The sequence below is a fragment of the Homo sapiens genome, chromosome 17 (assembly GCF_000001405.40).
Source record: "Homo sapiens chromosome 17, GRCh38.p14 Primary Assembly".
NCBI classification, from domain to species: Eukaryota; Metazoa; Chordata; class Mammalia; order Primates; family Hominidae; genus Homo; species Homo sapiens.
The window spans coordinates 52882775-52903727 of record NC_000017.11 but is presented as its reverse complement, the minus strand read 5'-3'; the positions used below and the strand labels follow the sequence as shown (position 1 = coordinate 52903727).

The 20953-nt window shown below is 37.0% G+C and overlaps 1 long non-coding RNA gene across 1 annotated transcript in view; it reads right to left on the bottom strand.

Annotated features, from left to right (window-relative positions):
* Nucleotides 1-4139: 4139 nt before the first annotated feature.
* LINC02089 (long intergenic non-protein coding RNA 2089) overlaps nt 4140-20953 on the bottom strand; it is a 37468-nt gene continuing 20654 nt past the window's right edge. The window contains exons 2-3 of the long non-coding RNA NR_146899.1: nt 5222-5294; nt 4140-4397 (exon numbers count right to left, since the gene is read on the bottom strand). This is a non-coding gene — a long non-coding RNA (long intergenic non-protein coding RNA 2089). The remainder of the gene's footprint in view (nt 4398-5221; nt 5295-20953) is intronic.

Here is a 20953-nt window from a genome sequence, read left to right as displayed (position 1 = left end):
TGATTGATTAGAGAATTTCCCACACAGCAATGGGGCAAGTCATATGATGAAAAATATTAATCTACATTACTACAAAGATAGTAATCTACCTCAGTGCCACAGAGCAGTGAGTAACTCAGGAGTCTGCATGTTCTTTACAAAAATGGCACTAGCCCTGGCTACTTGTGGGGAGAGAGACTCTTCCCAAGTTGTTTTAGTTTTCCAAGCAAGCGTATGCCTTTCCCTTATAGATTTAACCTACTGCCTATGATGTTTTTATTTTTATGTTAATAGAAAAGAGGTGCAGCCCATTAACAGATCCAATGTATGTTTTAAAGTGTGGGATGAAAACATAAGGTAAAAAGACCCTAATTCAGTGTCTCAGCTGCATTAGTTTGGGTTTTGAATGTGGATTTCTATATTTATTACACTGTTAATCTTTGATATGTGCTGCATTTGTTTTTCATAATTTTCATAATTTGTTTTAATACACTCATTGTATTAGGGTTCTCTGGGGGGCAGAACTAATGGATTATATATACATATATATTATATATATTTATATATATAAATGGAGTGGATATATATCATATAAATTTTTATGAACTTATCATCATTTGCTTCCCAACCTTAACTTGACACAAGAGAAATGAACAGTTAATGGGACCATCAATGTTAAAATCTAGAAATCTGGCATTTAGATATTCTGAAATAATCAGGTTGATTTTTATATGCATAGAATGTGTAGAGAGTTGGAAATACTGATATATATGATATATATGGGAGTTTATCAAGTATTAACTCACACGATCACAAGGTCCCACAAGAGGCCATCTGCAGGCTGAAGGAAAAGGAGAGAGAGTCTGAGTTCCAAAACTGAAGAACTTGGAGTCGAACTTGGAGTCTGATGTTCCAGGACAGGAAGCATCCAGCATGGGAGAAAGATGTAGGCTGGGAGGCTAGGCCAGTCTCTCTTTTCACATTTTCCTCCTGCTTCTATTCTAGCCGAGCTGGCAGCTGATTTTATTGTGGCCACCCAGATTAAGGGTGGGTCTGCCTTTCCCAGCCCACTGGTTCAAATGTTAATCTCCTTTGGCACCACACTCACAGACACACCCAGGATCAATACTTTGCATCTTTCAATCCAATCAAGTTGTCACTCAGTATTAATCATCATGCTCATTTTCTCTCTTTTTCTAGGCTTTGTGATTTCAACTTGGTGAAATACAGAAACTGCAGTATTGCAATATTAAAGTTATTTTTTACATATGCACCTTGTAGAAGTAAGGTGTGGGCCGGTGCTGTGGTTAGTGAGAGCCTACCTTTATCTCTAAGAATATTTTACTGGGACTTTTACTTTACTCTATGTAATGATAGATTTTGGTGTATGCAGCACTCCGTGGTATTTTCAACAAAGCTATTTTAACATTCGTACATCTGTAAGATGAACATTTAGAAGGTCACATCAAGGTAAACCAAAAGATATGCAACACTTTTAGTGGGACTGACTAGTAAGGAAATGGGAAAGATCCAGAACTGAGGCTAGAGAAAATCAGCTATATAGGCCTTGGTGCTGAAGAAAAAAATTCAATAACACAAATTAAGACGAGATCAGGCACTTCCAGGGTGGTATGGCCACAGACCAATAACACAAATTAAAATATCCAGAGGGAAAACTTAAGTTCTACTGGAACCAGTACTGGTATTTAATATTGTTGGCTGGATGAAGTTGTAGCTTCCAGAGAGATGGACCCTGAAGTAAAAACAATGGCAATATCTTTGTTCACTTGGCTCCTCCTCTTCGGCTCTGGTTAGTAGCCTGGCAAACAAGTTACTATTGAGATGAGGCTTGTTACAAGTGTTGCACAAGTATTGACAAGACCTAGGCAGCTTTTAGTTTCCAAATTTTATTTAAGTATTAGTTTGGTGCACAAATAATTGTGGTTTTTGTCATTAAAAGTAATGGCAAAACCACAATTAGTTTTGCACAAATCTAATAGGTTAAGAATCAAGTCAGGGATTCTTATGTCTCTATTGCACCTACAAGACAAACAGTGAGAGTGTGGCATTTAAGTTCTTTGGAAGAGACAGCTTTCTCAGGCTCAGGAGGACTATTTACATAAAGCTGTTAATAGTAATTATAAAATAAGGGATAAGTTTTGAGTCAAAATTGATAGGCAAAGCTAAGAGAAGAAATGGGAGAAGAGTATCATGGGATAAAACCAAGGTACAAACTTCTGGTAAACTGACAAATCAAGTGGTAAGAGTACTTTGAGTAGACTGAAAAATCAGGTGTAGAGGGGTCTAAAACAAAATAGCTCAAGATATACAGCACCGCCAAATGGGAAACATTGTTTGAGACAGACTGCTTTAAAGACTCATTCCTGGGCTGAAGATGAACCTGGGTGGTGATGGAGAAAAAATTTGACTGCTATGCTATGAGCAAAAATGAAATCTAGTACTACAGTCTACATACTACTACTACTGCTATTCTATGAGTGAAAATGAAATCCAGTACTGTAATCTACTGTTAGAAGTTAAGGGAAAATGATTTTTGGTGAACAGGTAGAAGCCAGAATTTACACAAGGAGCAATGGGTGGAGTCTGTCCAAGGTTATTTCCAGCCCCATCCAGCTTGGAGGTGAGCGGAGATTGAAACAAGGCTAAAGCCAGAGGTGAGAGGGGTTTATATCATCAACTGATAAGACTGAGAATTAGATAAATGACCTAATATTAGCCAGCTACTTTCCCACATAGATCTTGCAGTTTAAAATATACAGTAAGCCATTTATGTAGTTACTGAAACCATCTTTCCTGCTTCACCCATATCAAATTCACAAGCTGTTCCAATCAATTTGTCTCCTGAAATATGACAGAAACCTGCCCACTTTCTTTAGCTATACCCCTACCATACTAGAACATTCTGCCCTTGACTTTGATAGTTGTTTCCTAAACAGTTTGTTGCTTTCATTCTTGTCAAGAACCTCACCCACATCAAACCATTTTCCTCATGAGACAGAAAGATTTTAATGTATGTCAATCCAGCTATATCACTTTCTTGTATAAAATCTTCCTATTGGTTTCTTCTGTACTCAGCAAAAAAAAAAAAAAAAAAAAACAACTGAGGGCCTTATTCTGGCACATGATGCCTTACCCGTTCTACCGTCTGTCCCCCTCCCCGATTCTATTCCCACCACTCTCTTTCTGGATTACCGTCCTTTAGCCAAATAATACTTCCTATTTCTACAAAAGGCCAAAGGTCCATCTATATGGAGTTCTCTGCCTCCAGCTCTTAGCATGGCTCACCCATTTACCTTTAGGTTTCAGCTCAAATGCAAATTCCTATGGAACACGCTTAACCTTCTTCCAGTTTAGTTATTCTCTATCATATCAACCTAGTTTCATCCATATATCACAATCAAATGCATTTATTTATCCATTTGCTCTGTTTTCTATCACTACACTATAATATCAATATGATCTCTCATCTAACTACCCTATATTTTCCAGAGTAAAAAAAGGAATGAATAAAATGAATGAATGAAAAGATTACCAATCTCACTTTGTTTAAATGAAGTGATTTATCTTGATACTTGTTCATTCTTGAGTTTCCACTATTTTATGCAAGCAGCTAATCTAGTTTGACATCTTCATCTTGGATCCAAATGTAGTATAAATGAATGCCTACCAAATGGTAATAATAGATATCATATCTATAGCAAATGCTATATGACAGGCACTGCGTGTTCACTTTATACATACTAATTATTTAATTGTCATTGTAACCTTTTAAGTTTGGTGCTACTACTATACCAATATTGCAGATGAGATAATTGAAACATACCTGGGTTAATGTAGATGGTGTCACCACAGGTATTCACAGCTAGGAAATTTTACTTCAAAGTACGTATAATTTTTGGATTGAATGCCTCTTTTTCACCAGAAAATTCATAGCAATTGTATTTACTAAACCATTTACATATAAATTATTTAAGAAAATCCAGATTGTATGGAAGAAGTAACAAATAGAATCTGGGGTATATATATATGAGATGCAGTGAATTTTTTTTAGTATTCATGAAAGGCACACTCAGATCTCACTTTGTGATTAGATATCTAGAGTCACTTGACAGATGTAATAAAAATATGGTTTCATGTCAGGCAATGAATGGAATGTAGTTTATTTTCTTCTTCTGAAATTACAATACTATAGATAGAGTAAAATAAAAATTGGTGGGAAAAGGCAAGATTCTCCAGAGGACCATAAATACAAATATATGTCATGGTTGTAGAAGGGACCAGGCTTCTTTTCATGTCCAGTGATATTACAGATTCTCATGGGGTCACTGATATCCAAGTTGTTTGCAGGAGTTTGAGGTCATCAGTTCAGCAATAATTCACATCATTACAATGAAAAGCTGAAAAGAACAAAGAGATAGATAGGAGCACATAGACCCATTTCTGGTCTTTATTTTACTATTTTTAGACTTTTTGTCCGAAACATTCTAAAAAGCAGTTTGAAATGAAGTCTTGGATTCAACCATGAACTACACAGTCATTGAAGCCTGAGGAATATAAAGGAGCTAAAGAAAGACACAGAATCTGTCAGTGATTTTTTTAAACCCTGAAAGTGTAATTGACTCCTATATGCTTCATTTTCCCCTTAGGAAGAGAAAATAAGGTTGATGTGGTAGGGTACCAGTTAAATTGCCAGGAAGGGTAGTGGGTTCCAAGTGGCAAGAAGTCCTAATCTAAGAGCTGAAGGAAGAATCCAAGTTGATTTGTGTAGAAGAAAGATGAGGTCTACATCAGGGAGTTTATGTATGCATAAGGTTCAAGTGATACAGTAGGGGTATCTACAGTCAATACTACAAGGAGGTTTACCAGCTATCCAGCTTTACAAGCAGGAATATAAAGTCACTGGATGTTTCTAACAGGTTCTGGTCTACAGTATACTTCTATCCCCTTTATTTTAGGTACCTTATAATTTCTGTTTTCTTAGCCAAGAACAGAGACATTTAATTATAAGGTACAGTGCGCTTTTCTTAGAAGGCTTTCAATGATAAATATAGATAGATGATGATAGATAGATAAAATAGATAGTAGAAAGATAATAGATAACAGATGATAGATAGTAGGTAGAAAGATGATAGATAGATAATAGTTTATTCAACTGTCTTCTATTTATTGCATAACTGTTAATCTTTGACATCGGGTAAGGGACTATGGACCCAAGTAGTACCTGTGATCCTCAGCTGCAGGGAGTCTCAGAATGGTTTCCAGTGGGCACTGACAAATGTTGAGTATTAGACCACCTCAGGTTTCCAAAACAAGAAAATATATAAAATTATTAAATTTACACTCATTACAAAATAAAAAAAGAAAATGTGGGCAAACTTCACATTTCCATCTTTCATTTCTGGTAATGCCACTATAAAAGACTTCATGGTATGAGCTGTTACCGTGATGGTCAATGGCAATAGAATAAAGAAGCCTTTGGGGGAATGCTGCAATGAAGAAATTGTAGCTCATGTAATTCACCACTGAAACATACTTCTTCACTGTGTCATTATCCTGGCTCCAGCTTCATTATACTAACCTACTGCTAACCTAGCAAGCTGGTAGCATACACCATGCTAAGAAGTGGCAGAGGTGAGAATTGCAATTTTGATAATACAATCATGAGTTTTCAGAAAAACATCACTGGGTTTAAAATGAAAGAAGACAACCACCCAGATGTTTAATTTTTTAAACACCAAGAAATTTGCAAATATCTGGATAAAAGAGCAGATATTTTTTAATGTCAAGAAATCATTGATTTTGAATAGGGTTAATGGGAAGTGAGCTATGTAATAAGAAAAAGGAAGTCTTGGCCTCTGAAAGTTCTGCCTGGTGAACTGGAATAATGGGAATGCCCAATACTCTACGAATGTGATAAAATAATTTAATTGACTTAATTTACCAGAGCTGCTCAAGTTTCTTTACTGAATTTGGTATATTCCATTTGCAATGATTTAACAAGGGGAATAGGACCTTCAGGAGAAGGCCCTGACCTATTTTCAAAAACAACATTGGTTCACCCTAACAACATGGTAAAATGAAGATGATAGCAGTGCATGAACAATGGGGAGACTAACAGTGAAAATTCCATTAGGTTGTTAAGTAGGCTAAATTTGTTACTGCATATAAAACATTTAGAACAGATCCTGGTCTATAGTAAGTGCTATATATGCATTCACTATCAATATTATTTTATTGTAGCATCTCAAATATTTATACAAAAAATAGGCCTAAAATCCTTATTAGCAACTTATTATATTTCTGCCAAGACTGTGTGTGTTTGGACAAGGGGAAAGGCAAGCAATCCAAGAAACTTCATTATTTACATAATGGCAACACGTAACACAGATGAAAGTAGGTTGATTAGAAATCTTGCATAGTATACAATCTATGGGACATGCCAAGATTTATTTATTTTCAAAAATTTCTGAAACCCAGACAATGGATAATTATGCAAAGGCAGGATGAAAAACTCAGAACATTTTAATTTATAGCATCTTTCTCAAGGAGATTTCTCAATTTGTCCCCACTGTTGCAAACTCGTCTTGATAACAGCTCAGGGAAAAATAAGTTCATAATATTTTGAATTGATTGATCAAAGATATGCAGAAGCTAGACAGAGACTGTAGAGTTTTATCTTCCAAATGTTTTACAACTGAAGAACAATGTTTTATCCTCCAAACGTCTCCTTCTAAGCCCAGGAGCACTGAGAAAGTAGTAGTAAGATGCAGGCCAATGCCACCGCCAACATTTGCTATTTTTTTTTTTCACCTAGAAAAAGGAAACTTTAATTCAAAGGCACCCCAAGCCACTTTAACAATATCTTGCAAATAGTTTTGAAAACAATGAGATTTGCACTAAAAAGTTATGACCTCAAATTTTACCTCTAGAACTTTACTAAAATATGTAAAAATTATGTCCTATCCATACATTGTATTACAATAAAGAGAGGCACCAGGTCATCTAGTAATTGTTCAAATGTGATCCCTGAATTGTCACTGACCCACAAATGTTACAGAGCTGGGACTAGATAATTACATAAATTAAGAGAGCATATAGAAACCTGTATAGCAATCTGACACTATCATCACTTCTAAGGGTGTAATCATTTTCCTTCTCATTTCTTTTTATTTCATTTTGTCATAGTATCGGTTAATAATTGATTTGAAAATTTAAAAAATGTTTCATTAGTGGAAATATAATAAAAGGAGACTGGAAATTGTAAGTGAAGAGCACAGAAGGGTCTCAGCTAAGTCTCTGGGTGCTAACTAGGATCCATAATTCATCTTTAGGAGAAGACATGGGAATGACCATGAGCAAGTGGGGTTCCTAAACATCCAGACATGGTGTACTCAAAGCTGTTCCTTGCTGTAAAATTTATACAGAATTATGGAAATATTGGCACTATTATGGACCCTTTAAATTCTCCCTCCATCCTAAGCATTAATAATTTTATATTTGACACTGTCTGGTGCTGGAAATTTTAAGAGCACCGTAGCCTCCTTTGCTAATGACACCAGAGCCCTTGTTTTCCTGGTTTCCTACCACCCTTTTGTCTGTTTACTCTGTGAACTCAAGCGGCTGTCAGAGTAACTCAGCAAAGTGACATCTAGCATTGACTACTTAGATGGACCACTCTGTCAATGTCCTGCATTTTTTTTTTGCATTTCTTTATTTTTTTTGGAGACCTTTAGCTCTATTTTCCACATTTTTCTAGCTTTCACCTGTTACTTTCAGTAACCTGACTTTATTTTTTCTTCTTCTTCAGTTTTTCAAAAGCAGAGGCCAGTGATTTTCTTTGATTTTATTTCCACATACTCATACGTGGACCCTAGTGAAGTGTAACTCCACCTCTATTCTCCAATTAAGCAACATCAAGGCTTCCAAGTCTCAATCCCTACAATTCTGCAGAGTTGCCCAATTTTCTGATGCAGATTGTCCTGCAAAGGAGATGTGTAACGAGATTAATGTGGTTTTCATGCCTGTTAACACATCCATTCTGCATCCCATGGATCAAAAACAAATTGTGACTTTCAAGTCTTATTATTTAATAAGTATATATTATAAAGCTATAGCAGCCATAGACAGTTAATCCTGTGATGGATTCAGGCAAAGTAAACTGAAAACCTTCTGAAAGAAAATTGCCATTCTAGATGCCATTAAGAACATTCTTGCTTCATGGAAGGATGTCAAAATATCAACATTAACAGACGTTTGGAAGAAGTTGATTGCAATCATCATGGATGAAAGGTTTCCATCCATGAGGACTGGAATCAATTTTGAAAGGTTTGAAACATTTCAAGACTTCAGTGAAGGAAGTAACTGCAGATGTGGCGGAAATTGCAAGAGTAGTACCACTACTCCTAGTGAAGATGCTGTGAACAGTGTTGAAATAAAAACAAATGATTCCAAATATTTCATAACTTTACTTGATAAAGCCGAGGCAGGGCTTGTGAGGATTAATTAATTTTGCAAGAAGAAATACTGTGGGTAAAATGCAATCAAACAACATCAGATGCTACAGAGAAATCTTCTGTGAAAGAAAGAATCATTCTGTGCATCAAACTTCACTGTTATCTTATTTTACGAAATTGCCGGCCTGGTGCAGTGGCTCACACCTGTAAATCCCAGCACTTTGGAAGGCCGAGGCGGGCGGATCCCGAGGTCTGGAGTTCGAGACCATCCTGGCCAACATGGTCAAACCCCGTCTCTACTAAAAATACAAAAAATGAGCCAGGCATGGTGTCACGTGCCTGTGGTCCCAGCTACTCGGGAGGCTGAGGCAGGAGAATTGCTTGAACCGGGAGGCGGAGGTTGCAGTGAGCCCAGATTGTGCCACTGCCCTCCAGCTTGGCGACAGAGTGAGACTCCATCAAAAAAAGAAAAAAAATTGCCACAGCTACTACAGTCTTCAGCAACCACCACCCTTATCAGCACACACCTATCAACAATGAGGCAAGATCCTCCACTACAAAAGATGACAACTTGCTGAAGGTTCAGGTGATTGTTAACATTTATCAGCAATAAAGTATTTTTAAATTAAGGTACATACATTGCTTTAAGATGTAATGTGATTGTACATTTAGCACACTACAGTATAGTGTCAACATAACATTTAGATGAAGTAGGAAACCAAAAAGTTCATGTGATTCACTTTATTGTGATATTTACTATACTGTGGTTGTCCAGAACAGAACTCATAATATCTCTAAGGTATGCCTCTACATATTTCCCAAGATCATCTTGAGGCTCAACTGGGATAAAGTTATGTAATAATTTGTCTTATGAATATTAGTTGATTTTTTTTCAAGACAGGGTCCACCTCTGTCATCCAGGCTGGAGTGCAGTGGTACAGTCTCAGCTCACTGCAACCTCTGGGTTAAAATGATCCTCCTGCCTCAGCCTCCTGAGTAGCTGAGACTACAGTATGTGCCACCACCCCTGCTAATTTTTGTAATTAGTTGATATTTTTATCCACAAGTAATACCCAAAGCATGGAATTAATCTTTACTGAAATACATATTAGCCACTATAAACTGAAATATAACTTACTGAATAAATATAAATGGCTCCTAAATGTATGACTGAATAACACTTCAGCAATGAATACTAATAGTTGAGACAAAGAAAGAGAAGTTTGTATATGAAGGCAGGAGTTCAGAGATAAATGTTTATTCTCAAGGACACATAGGAATAACATATTTATAGAGACAAAATGGTCCAAAGGAAAGTAAAAGTGACGATAAAAATTTTATTTCTGGTTAATTACCAAGTGCCCTCAAGAAGAACACTGTTAGTAAGATAGCTTCCTCAACAATCTATTCCCTTGTTACTATTAACTTTAATTTGTAAACAGCATCATAATGATTTTACTCCAGAATTCATTAAAAATCTCTCTAAATCTTCATCATAAAATGCTGCACAAAATCCTGTATCTTGTCGACCTGATTACTGAGATAGGATCCTATGATTTTTAGTCTTGGATCTTTCATAGGATAAGTCAACTGAAACTGACAAAGTAAAATAGCATTTGTAGTAAAGCCTCCTATTTCCAGTGTTTGCTACTGTGAAACAACTAGTGAAAAAGTATCACATATTTACAAGAAAGATTAGTGGGTCCATCCAAACATTTGTATTGAAAACACATTTTTGTGCCAATTGTTTCTTGGTTAAAAATGACTAGGTGGTGTAAAATAAGCGTATCCACTTTTTCACAGTTCCAACTGTAACTTTTTTCGTGAAATGCACGACTACACATTATTAACTGTCCCTTTATTTTATTGTCTTGAGCCATGAGAGTAGATAATCAGTTTTCCCTGTAATGAGAAAAGGTTCTAATCAATAATTAGCTACCTGCATACAAAGCTAGCAATCTTCAAAATTATTTCCATGTACTTGAACATTGAGACCCAGAGGCAAATATTGCATTGTGTCTATTGTTGAAAGATGCTCATAAAAACAGAAAGGTGAGAAAAATTTTCATTTTATTGTTCTTTAGTTATTATATTTAATATGTCTACCAGTTTCCAAGTTCATTGAATTATTTTAGAGTATGTACAGTATATAAATTTGGAGATAGAAAATCTATTTTAGTAAAATCTATTTTCCTGTAAATAACTGCCCTTGGTGATGACACTCTTCGTTTATGTGTTATGATAACTCAGATATAAATAGTTTTCATAAAGTCGATCAAACCTCTTCTCCCTTAGACTAAACGGGAGAAATTTTTACAATTCAAGTATATCTATAAAATTTAAAGAAAGAGACTAAAGTAGATTATTAATTGAGAGTCACACGCAGCTTTTTACAAACTTTGTTCTTTTCCATCTTGTCATCTTAAGCATTTTGATGTCACTAAACAGATATGTAAATACAGAAATTGAAGAATAAATTTCAAGGAAATATTAAACAGTTATGTCATATCAGAAATATTTTCTTAATTTCCTTGCAAATTTTAGTTTATGGATGTTCAAACCTACTGAAAAGCTAAAATAATTGTAAAATGAAGACTTGTAACATGGGCATTTCACCTATATTCACTAATAATTAATGTTTTATTACATTCGTATTCTCTCTCTCCCTCCACACACACACACAGATTTAGATATAAATATATGATTTATATACAGTTTACATAGTTTTGCTTTTGCTGAGTCATTTAAAAGTAAATTTTAGATAGTTTGACACTTCATCCTTGGATAATTCAGCATCACATTCTAAAGCCAAAGTCATTCTCCTGTAGAACCAGAATACCATTATCACAGTAAGAAAATGAATTTAACATATCACCATGTACCATAGAGTACATATTAAATATCCTGGACTGTCCCCAAAATGACTTTTAAAATTGTTGTGTGTGTGTATGTGTGTGTGTGTGAATTTATTTGCTTGCTTTGTTATGCTTTATAATCGGGATTCAAGTAACATTTCCCTATTAACAGGAGAGTTCCTGATTCTGCATTGAACATAATGCAATACCCTCTGTACTTTGATAGCCTGTGTTTTCAAACACAGTATCATATTTATGACCAAAACAAATGGCTAAGAGTAACACAAAGTTAATTCATTCATCTATTTAGCAAATATTTATTGAGGGATTATTATGTGCCATGTAGGGTTCTAGGCTTGAGGATACAGTGGTGAGCAATATAGAAAATCCATTGTCTTCATGGACCTTGGGTTTGAGTGAAGATAGCTATGTAGAGATATAGCTACCTAAATACATAAAAAATATATTCAGATAATAAGGACTGTAAATGAATAAAGCTGGATGATATAATAAAACATAGTTTTGGTCTCTGCTTCTAGTTAACCGGTTGAGAGTTACTTTGAGAAAGTGTTACTGATGCGAGACTGTCAGCCACTTGAAGTGCTGGGAGAAGAGTCTTTTAAACAGAGAGAACAGTCAGTACCAAAGCCCTAAGGCATAAATGTTCTTAACAGACGTATTAACAAAGGTATTATGTTTATATGACATAATCTTTTGGGCAGGCCTGTTAGAGATGTTTCATTATCTTAAGTTTATATCATGATGTGGCTTCCTCCAGAGTTCCAAAAATTTTTCTGAACAAGTTTATTACTTCAAGGCTTAATAACCAATACACTTGAGTTTTACTTTTGTCTGCATTACTTATTAACTGTGGAATATTTGCCAGGTGGCATGACTGCATAGACTTAATTCCTTATACATAATTATGAATCTAGATAATTATTAAAAGAACTGTTAAAATAATAAAAGAGACCTCCATAGATCTTTTAAGAGAATAATATATGACAGCGCTTATAAAGTGCTTAGCAACGTGCCTGACTGGGGTTGTCATGTGAGCCTCATACATACCTGTATATTGCATTTCCCCTTCTTTTAAACAAATGTTCAATTCAACGCAGGCATTTTTTTTTAAATTTGACTTTAAGTTCTGGGATACATGTGCAGAACGTGCAGGTTTGTTACGTAGGTATACATGCGCCATGACGTTTTGCTCCACCTATCAACCCGTCATCTAGATTTTAAGCTCTGCATGCATTAGGTATTTATCCTAATGCTCTCATTTTAGAGAATTGCAATGTTATGGCAATATTGAAAGTATAATCCTCATTATTTCACTTGAAACTATCTTTTGAATAGAAAAAAAGTCATGATTTATTTTGTAGAAACATGGAATTTCTAAATTTATAAAGAAAGATATTGACATTAAAGTCATAAATTCTTGTAATATTTTAAGTGGAAATTCTAGGGTAAAACAATCAAACCTGGAAAAACTAGCAGTTATTTCTAGAATACTCCTTTACACTAATATTAGAAAGAAACATCTTCCAGTTAAAGAGCCTTTGGAGTGATCTGGGATGGAATTATCTAAATGAAATTGTTCAAATATAAAATTATTAATAGTAATAGTGTGTGGGAGTAAAAAGAGGCCTGGCTTTTAGTCCTAATTCCACCATATTCCTCACTGGCTGACCCTGGGGTTCAACTGATATCCAATGTGATATTGACAAGTCACCTACCTCTCTTAATGTGTTTTGTCATTGGTCAAACATCAAGGTTAATCTAGCAAAGATCACAGGTGAATGGTCCAAGCACCAAATCCAGTTGGGATATATGTTTGTTATGTCTATCTGTTTTTAAAGTTTTAAAAGCAAGCAACTTAAAATTGGCACATTTCACATGAAAATGTGAATATCTGCCTGGTCTTGAAAAAATGGAATGAACTAACAAATTCAGGTCTGCATTTCTATTAACCAACAATTTGTTGGAACTAAGTAGCTGCTCCCTTTTCTAAGATAGGGAGTCTGCACTCCAGTTTCCATCACTCACAAAACATATGCAATGCACTTTCTACTCCCACCCAACTTAAGCCAATTATGCTATCTGCCTGACCCTACCAGAATTTGAAATTGGACCCTAACCTAAAGGATTTCTCAGGTTTCATTTCAATTATGATACACAGATTGTGTGAATGTGAATGGAAAGAGTACTAACCTTTGTGTCGTTGAAAGATCAGCCTATCAAGCCATGAGAAAGAGGATTCTCATTTTGGATCTGTGATTTTGATAAGAGCCAACAACATGTATTGAGTATATTGTCTAGAGCTAGAAACCTTAAGTGTTTTACATGCAACATCTCATCTGGTTTACAAATCAACATCCCTCTGCTTTTGACCTGAAGAATCAGGCTTTGAGAGGTAAATAACTTGCCAAGGTCACACCACCTAGTAACAGTGCAGTTAGCACTAGGATTCTAGTGTTTCTCAGTCTACTATAGAAATTGGGCTTATCACCACTATGATATAGTGTTGACCATTTGCTACACGTGAAACCTTGGGAAACTTTATTACACTCTCTATAATTCTATTTTTCACTTTTAGTTGGGTTTAACATCACACAGGTTGTTTGTGATGATTAAATGAAAATACATGGAAATATCTAGATATAGAAATTGATATATAGTAGGGACTCAACAAATATCTGTACTAGCCTAGGCTAGAGACATACATAGTATTCACGTTATATAGAACTTCTTTGGATTGCAAAGCAGCTAATTACTACATAAAAATTGCTTTACGTTTCCACTGCCATTATACCAAAGAATCATTTATAGACATTAGAAAGATAGCGTCAAGGGATCTGTCCAGAAGAGAATGAATATAGACATTGCTATCAAGTGTTCACTGTGAGGAAGTAGTGGTTTTGAATAAGGACCAGGTGGGCAAACAGCATGTGTAAATCTGCCATTGAACCTCAGACTTTATCAACTCAGAAATAGAGTCTGGAAAGACGGACGATACACTATGATTCAGCCAGTGTGTGACAAGGTATAAACTCTATGGCACCAGACAAAGCAAACAAGTCCGTGAATATTGCAAATGAGATACTGAGATTCATCCTGTGTTCAGCTCATGCAAATGGTTAAAGCCACAGTTCATTCCTAACTCTTCTACAAAGAAACATGTACAGAAATATCTGCTGCTTAAACAGGTTCTGTAAACCAAGTGTGAGATGCAGGTGCTTAAAGGAACATTTTCTAATTTAATACAAAGGTTATATTAAACCTTTATATTATTATTAATATAAATATATAAACTGTATATGTTAATATGTATGTAATTTTTGAAAGACTTTTTCCCCATTGCAAATAGTCTATAATTATAATTTAATATGCTTTGTTTTTGTTTTGTCTTAAGACACACAATATCATATTTCTACTTTAAGAATAAATAATATTAATTACTCAATAGGCACAACTAATACAACGTACACTTTAGTTCAGGGTGGGCAAATTATTCCCTACTGGTCAAATCCTTCCTGATGCCTTGTTTTATAAATATATTGGGACACACACAGCTCATTTTTTTTTAATTGTCTACAGCTTCTTTCATTCTATAATGCAGTTGAGTAGCTGCAACAGACACCATATGCCTACCTAGCCTAAAATATTTTTTCTCTGACCCTTTACATGAAATGTTTATATAGCCTTTCATTTGGTTCAGTAACAGTCTTTTCTTTTTAATATCACTTCCTCACCTTCTTATTGGAAAGAGAGAGAATTCTAGAAGTTACTTGAAGAGAAAACCTTCATGATCAATAGAGAAAGGAGAGAGATTCACGGACAAAGAGGGAGAAAAATAAATGATCTAGACACCAGCTGCTTCTCAGAATTGTATGGCCTTTAAAATCATTTGCAGGAAACCTACTGTTTAAAATCAACCTGGAGATGAATTTAGTCTTAGAAACCTACTGTTTCTTAGAAACCTACTCTTTCTTAGAAACCTTAGAAACCTACTGTTTGCAATCAATCTGGAGATGAAATTAGTAGAAATAATGAAAAGAGGACATCTCTGAAGAGGATATTGGGACTGGAGTCATTCTGTTTAACTTTCAGACACAAACATGGTTCAATTGGTTCAACTGACCAACAGGCAGAAATACAGGCTGAAAAATAACAGTGTTATAATGCTAGCATAGATTAGACAAAATTAAGGCAAAGGCTTATCCAGGCTTCCAAGATCAAACATCCCTGCCTCAACTCTACTGTTATGTATGATTTTAACAAGGATAAGTTGTTGTTTATTTGCTTTTAATGCAAGCAATACTCAAGAGTTATTTTAAACCTACTCACAAAAAGATAATTTTATTGAACCTTATTAATTCCTCTCTACCAAAATTCCATGAAGGGAATTGCTAAATCTGAAGACTGAAAATAATCTAGAGAATAAGCCACTATAAGCCCTTGCCTTCAGCCAACAAACGATTATCCATGTTCTTGCATTATGCCATGACATTTTGCTTTGTCCAGAGTATTTGACAATGCCACCACTCCTTTTTTTTCTTTATTTTTTTCTTTTTTCTGACAGAGTTTTGCTCTTGTTGCTCAGGCTGGAGTGCAATGAAGCTATCTCGGCTCACTGCAACCTCCGCCTCCCAGGTTCAAGTGATTCTCTCCTGCCTCAGCCTCCCGAGTAGCTGGGATTACAGATGCCTGCCACCACACTCAGCTAATTTTTTTGTATTTTTAGTAGAGACAGAGTTTCGCCATGTTGGCCAGGCTGGTCTTGAACTCCTGACCTCAGGTGATCTGACCACCTTGGCCTCCCGAAGTGCTGGGATTACAGGCATGAGCCACCGAGCCCAGCCTCCTTCTTGTTTTCAATATTGAACATCTAAAACTGGACCTAATCTATTTTTGTTTACAAAAATTTTAAAAGTTTATATCAAGAAACTGAAGTTTAATCTTAAAATGAGGGTTCTTGAAAAAAAAAAAAGAAGAAGAAAAGCTTAGATCGAGGGTCAGTAGATGGGGGCCCACTGGCTAAATTTTACTCATTACCTCGTTCTGTAAGTCTTATAAACCATAAACGACTTCTAAATAATTCAGAAAAAATTAAGAAACACAATCATATTTCATGACACATTAACATTTTATATATTCCAATTTCAGAATCCATAAATAAAATTGTATTGGAACAGAGTTATCCCCATTTATTTAGGTATCTGTGGCTGTTTTTGAGCTACCATACTAGAGTTGAGTAGATGTGGCAGAACTGTATGGACCACAAATCTGAAAACATTTATTATCTGGTCTTTTATAGAAAAAAGACGCTAGCCTTTGGCATACAGCTTTATCTTATTTATGGTAAACCTCTGAGGTCTAGCATCTAATACAACTTCAACGGTTATTTTACGTTTTTATTTTTGCTCAATAAGTGTCATTTACTTCTTAGGGAGCATGCACTAGAGCACATAATTTTTTCAGGAACTAGATTTAAAAATCTATTTTCAATTATTTAGCAAACACATTCATTCATTCAGAAAACTTTTGTGGAATACTTAAACTAAACTACTTATACTAGCAATAAAATCCAGTGACCCAGAGTTACTAAAGCCACACAATTGTGTATGTTTGTATATATTTTTCTTTACCTGTGCTGCCAAACATGGTGCCTGGCAAATATTAAATGCTGAATAAATGTTTATGTGACTAAACAACCATGTGGCTTCTGTCCCAGAAAAACACATAGTCCAGTAAAAGAGACAAACAGGTAAAAAACAGACTTGCCCTGTGGACTATGAAAAAGATGAAAATAACTCCTTTATGATAACAGAGGTGGGAGATTTCACAAATATGGCAGATGAGAGGAATCTTACAGAGCAATTTATATATATGGACCCTCTACTTAATTCTTAGCACTATGTGGGAGATGATATAATAACTGGCTTGGTATTAGTCAAAGTGCTGGGATGTCGAAACTAGAAAGACTCAATAGGAAAGAAGACTGGCAACCAGATACGGGAGCAAAGAAATTAGCTGTCAGTAATAGGTTATTTGTGTTGGTGAGGAGATTGTGGCAAGCAAAGACTCATCAGGCCTAACTGGACTTGGGATGTTCCAAATAACCAAGAAATCTAGCAGCAGCAAAGCCAGTGACAGAGTATCAGCAAAGGAGCCTGAATTCCTAAGACAGGTCTCCCCCATCCAGCCAATGAACCAAAACTTGGCGTCTGGCAATGACGATGATAAGTGAGAGACGGCAGTGTAACCAGGCAGGAGATATATGGGAAGGTCAGGGGGCATAATCAGCAAGTGCAGGGAGCATGATAATGAGGACTTCTAGGATAGATAAGCCTGGAATCAGGGAGACAGGCAGCTGGAAGGTAGAAAGGCTCAGAAAAGTTAATCCACAGGAAATGAGGCTCTTGTCATCGGATTGTGACTCAGGCAGTATTTTAGCCCCCAAAAGACTCAGGAGATTAAGACATCATATCCAACTAAGAGGAATGTGTCACTTATTATAAGTAGATTACCAAGGTAAGGAATTATACTAATTATACTCTCTCTCTCACACACACACACGCACACACATATATATATACACAGATACACAACTTAGATATTGGAACTAAACCGGTTGGCAAGGCAAATGCATGATTAGAGACATATTATAAGCCATTATTATATATCTGAGGGGCAAAAGTCGTCAGAGTGCCACAGGAGAAAATCTGATGTGACACTAATTCATGAGTTATTGCCCAGTCTTTGAATGTGCTTGATCATGAATAGTGTAGATTCCTATCATCGGATTTAGACCACATTTAAAATTCAAGTGCTTTGACTGAGAAGACTCGCAGAGAATTGACAGAAAAAAAGCCAAGGCAGATTTCATAACATACAAACCAAAAGAAGAAAACAACGTTCAGTAAATATTGACAAACACTGAATCACAGCAAAAGCCCGTATCAGATCACAAAGTAGAATCTGTGCAGTGTGGTGCACTGATCAACCAACACCACTATGAGCTGGTTTACCAAATGAAGCTTTGCCATAATTACTTATTTCTCTTTCAAATTATTTAGTAAATTGACAAATACTAGTAAAAGAGACACAGCATCTTTGAAATTTGAAAAGAAATCCTTGTAATAAATAATGAAAGGGTGGCTAATGGTTCAGTTAGGTGTTTTTGTGCCCAGTGAAAATAATTTACTGAAAGTTAAAAGGCAAAAGGAAATTGATACTCAAAACAGTGTTTCAGAGGTTTTCCCTTGATCCTCTCAAATTCCAACAAGTTTACCAATAACCTGGATAAACAACTAGAACATATGGATATTTAAGATTTTAATATACTCAAAAGCTGAATGAGAATGTTGACATGAAAAAAGAAAGGGTTACGATAAAAATAATAATATATGGTATTGAATAATGGGCTCTAATCAAGCTCAAAAGAAAATGATACTCAACATTAGTGTATGTGGAAAAGATTCAGGACTTTTAGGCAACCATAAGTTTAATACAAGTTGATAATATGATGTGGCACCTCAAAAATTTAACACAATTTTAGCCTGTAGAAATAAGAATGTGGGGTCTTTATTATTGAAAGCAATAAGCTCATTGTAGTTCTAGGCATCTTTGTCTAAGAAGAAAAGAGTCAAAACTAGAGGTCTGTATAACAGAGCTATAAGAGGAGGGAATAGTTTTAAAACATGCATATGGAATATAAGTTGTTTATATACCTGGTGTTCTGCTCTTCATGGAAGATCTCATTCCCTATATCCTTTCATGATGAATTTTGAGAAAACAAGGTAGGAATAAGAAGGGGTATGGAAAAGAAGCTCACTTGCCTTGAACTAGCTTGAACCGGCACAAGTTCAGCACTTTTTTTTCCTTAATTGAAAGCGAGAAGTGACAGCTTGCTGGCAGCCCTCACAGCCCTTGCTCGCTCTCGGCGCCTCTTCTGCCTGGGCTCCCACTTTGGCGGCCCTTGAGGAGCCCTTCAGCCCGCCGCTGCACTGTGGGAGCGCCTTCCTGGGCTGGCCAAGGCTGGAGCCGGCTCCCTCAGCTTGCGGGGAGGTGTGGAAGGAGAGGCGCGGGCGGGAACCAGTGCTGCCTGCGGTGGTTGTGGGCCAGCACGAGTTCCAGGTGGGTGTGGGCTCGGCGGGCCCTGCACTCGGAGCGGCCCCCGACATTGAGGGGCTAAGCACCCAGGCCAGCGGCTGCGGAGGGTGTGCTGGGTCCCCCAGCGGTGCCGGCCCACCAGCGCTGCGCTCGATTTCTCGCAGGGCCTTAGCTGCCTCTCGGCGGGGCAAGGCTTGGGACCTGCAGCCCGCCATGCCTGAGCCTTCCCCCGACCCCCGTGGGCTCCTGTGCGCCGGAGCCTCCCTGACAAGCGCCGCCCCCTGCTCCACAGCGCCCAGTCCCATCGACCACCCAAGGGCTGAGGAGTGCAGCCGCACAGCGCGGGACTGGCAGGCAGCTCCACCTGCGGCCCTGGTGCGGCATCCACTGGGTGAAGCCAGCTGGGCTCCTGAATGGTGAGGACTTGGAGAACCTTTATGTCTAGCTAAGGGGTTGTAAATACACCAATTGGCACTCTGTATCTAGCTCAAGGTTTGTAAACACACCAATCAGCACCGTGTCTAGCTCAGGGTTTGTGAATGCACCAATCAACACTCTGTATCCAGCTAATCTAGCGGGGACATGGAGAACCTTTGTGTCTAGGTCAGGGATCGTAAATGCACAAATCTGCACCCTGTCAAAACAGACCACTTGGCTCTCTGTAAAATGGGCCAATCAGCAGGATGTGAGTGGGGCCAGATAAGAGAATAAAAGCAGGCTGCCCCAGCCAGCAGTGGCAACCCGCTGGGGTCCCCTTCCACACTGTGGAAGCTTTGTTCTTTTGCTCGTTGCAATGACTCTTGCTGCTGCTCACTCTTTGGGTCCACACTGCCTGTATGAACTGTTAACACTCACTGGGGAAGGTCTGCAGCTTCACTCCTGAAGCCAGCGAGACCATGAACCCACCAGGAGGAACGAACAACTCCAGATGTGCCGCCTTAAGAGCTGAAACACTCACCGCGAAGGTCCGCAGCTTCACTCCTGAGCCAGCGAGACCACGAACTCCACCAGAAGGAAGAAACTCCGGACACATCCGATCATCAGAAGGAACAAACTCTCGACACGCCACCTTTAAGAATTGTAACGCTCACCGCGAGGGTCCGTGGCTTCATTCTTGAAGTCAGTGAGACCAAGAACCCACCAATTCTGGACACAAAAGGACTTACTTGATATTGATGGTGATATCAAAAAAAGAGGTTATTTATCTTTGCATAATTGATACAAATCTTGATCTTTTCATTTTTTTCAGGGTCCACTTCATGATGTTTTACTAGGATAGGAATACCTAATTGTTTCCAATTCTGAGAGGTAATATCCTCCAATTGGTAACGGTTGGATGATCTTTATTCTTAAGCTATTTAAAATGGGTTAATATAGCTGGCATTTTAAAATGTCCTGGCTCATATACGTAATAGATCGTATGAGAATCCATGCAAAAAGTGATAAGAGATTCACAAAGAGGAAACAATTATTTTATACATATGTGTGAAGGGTTGAGGTCTTGATGAGACAATGGATTTGTACTGTGCA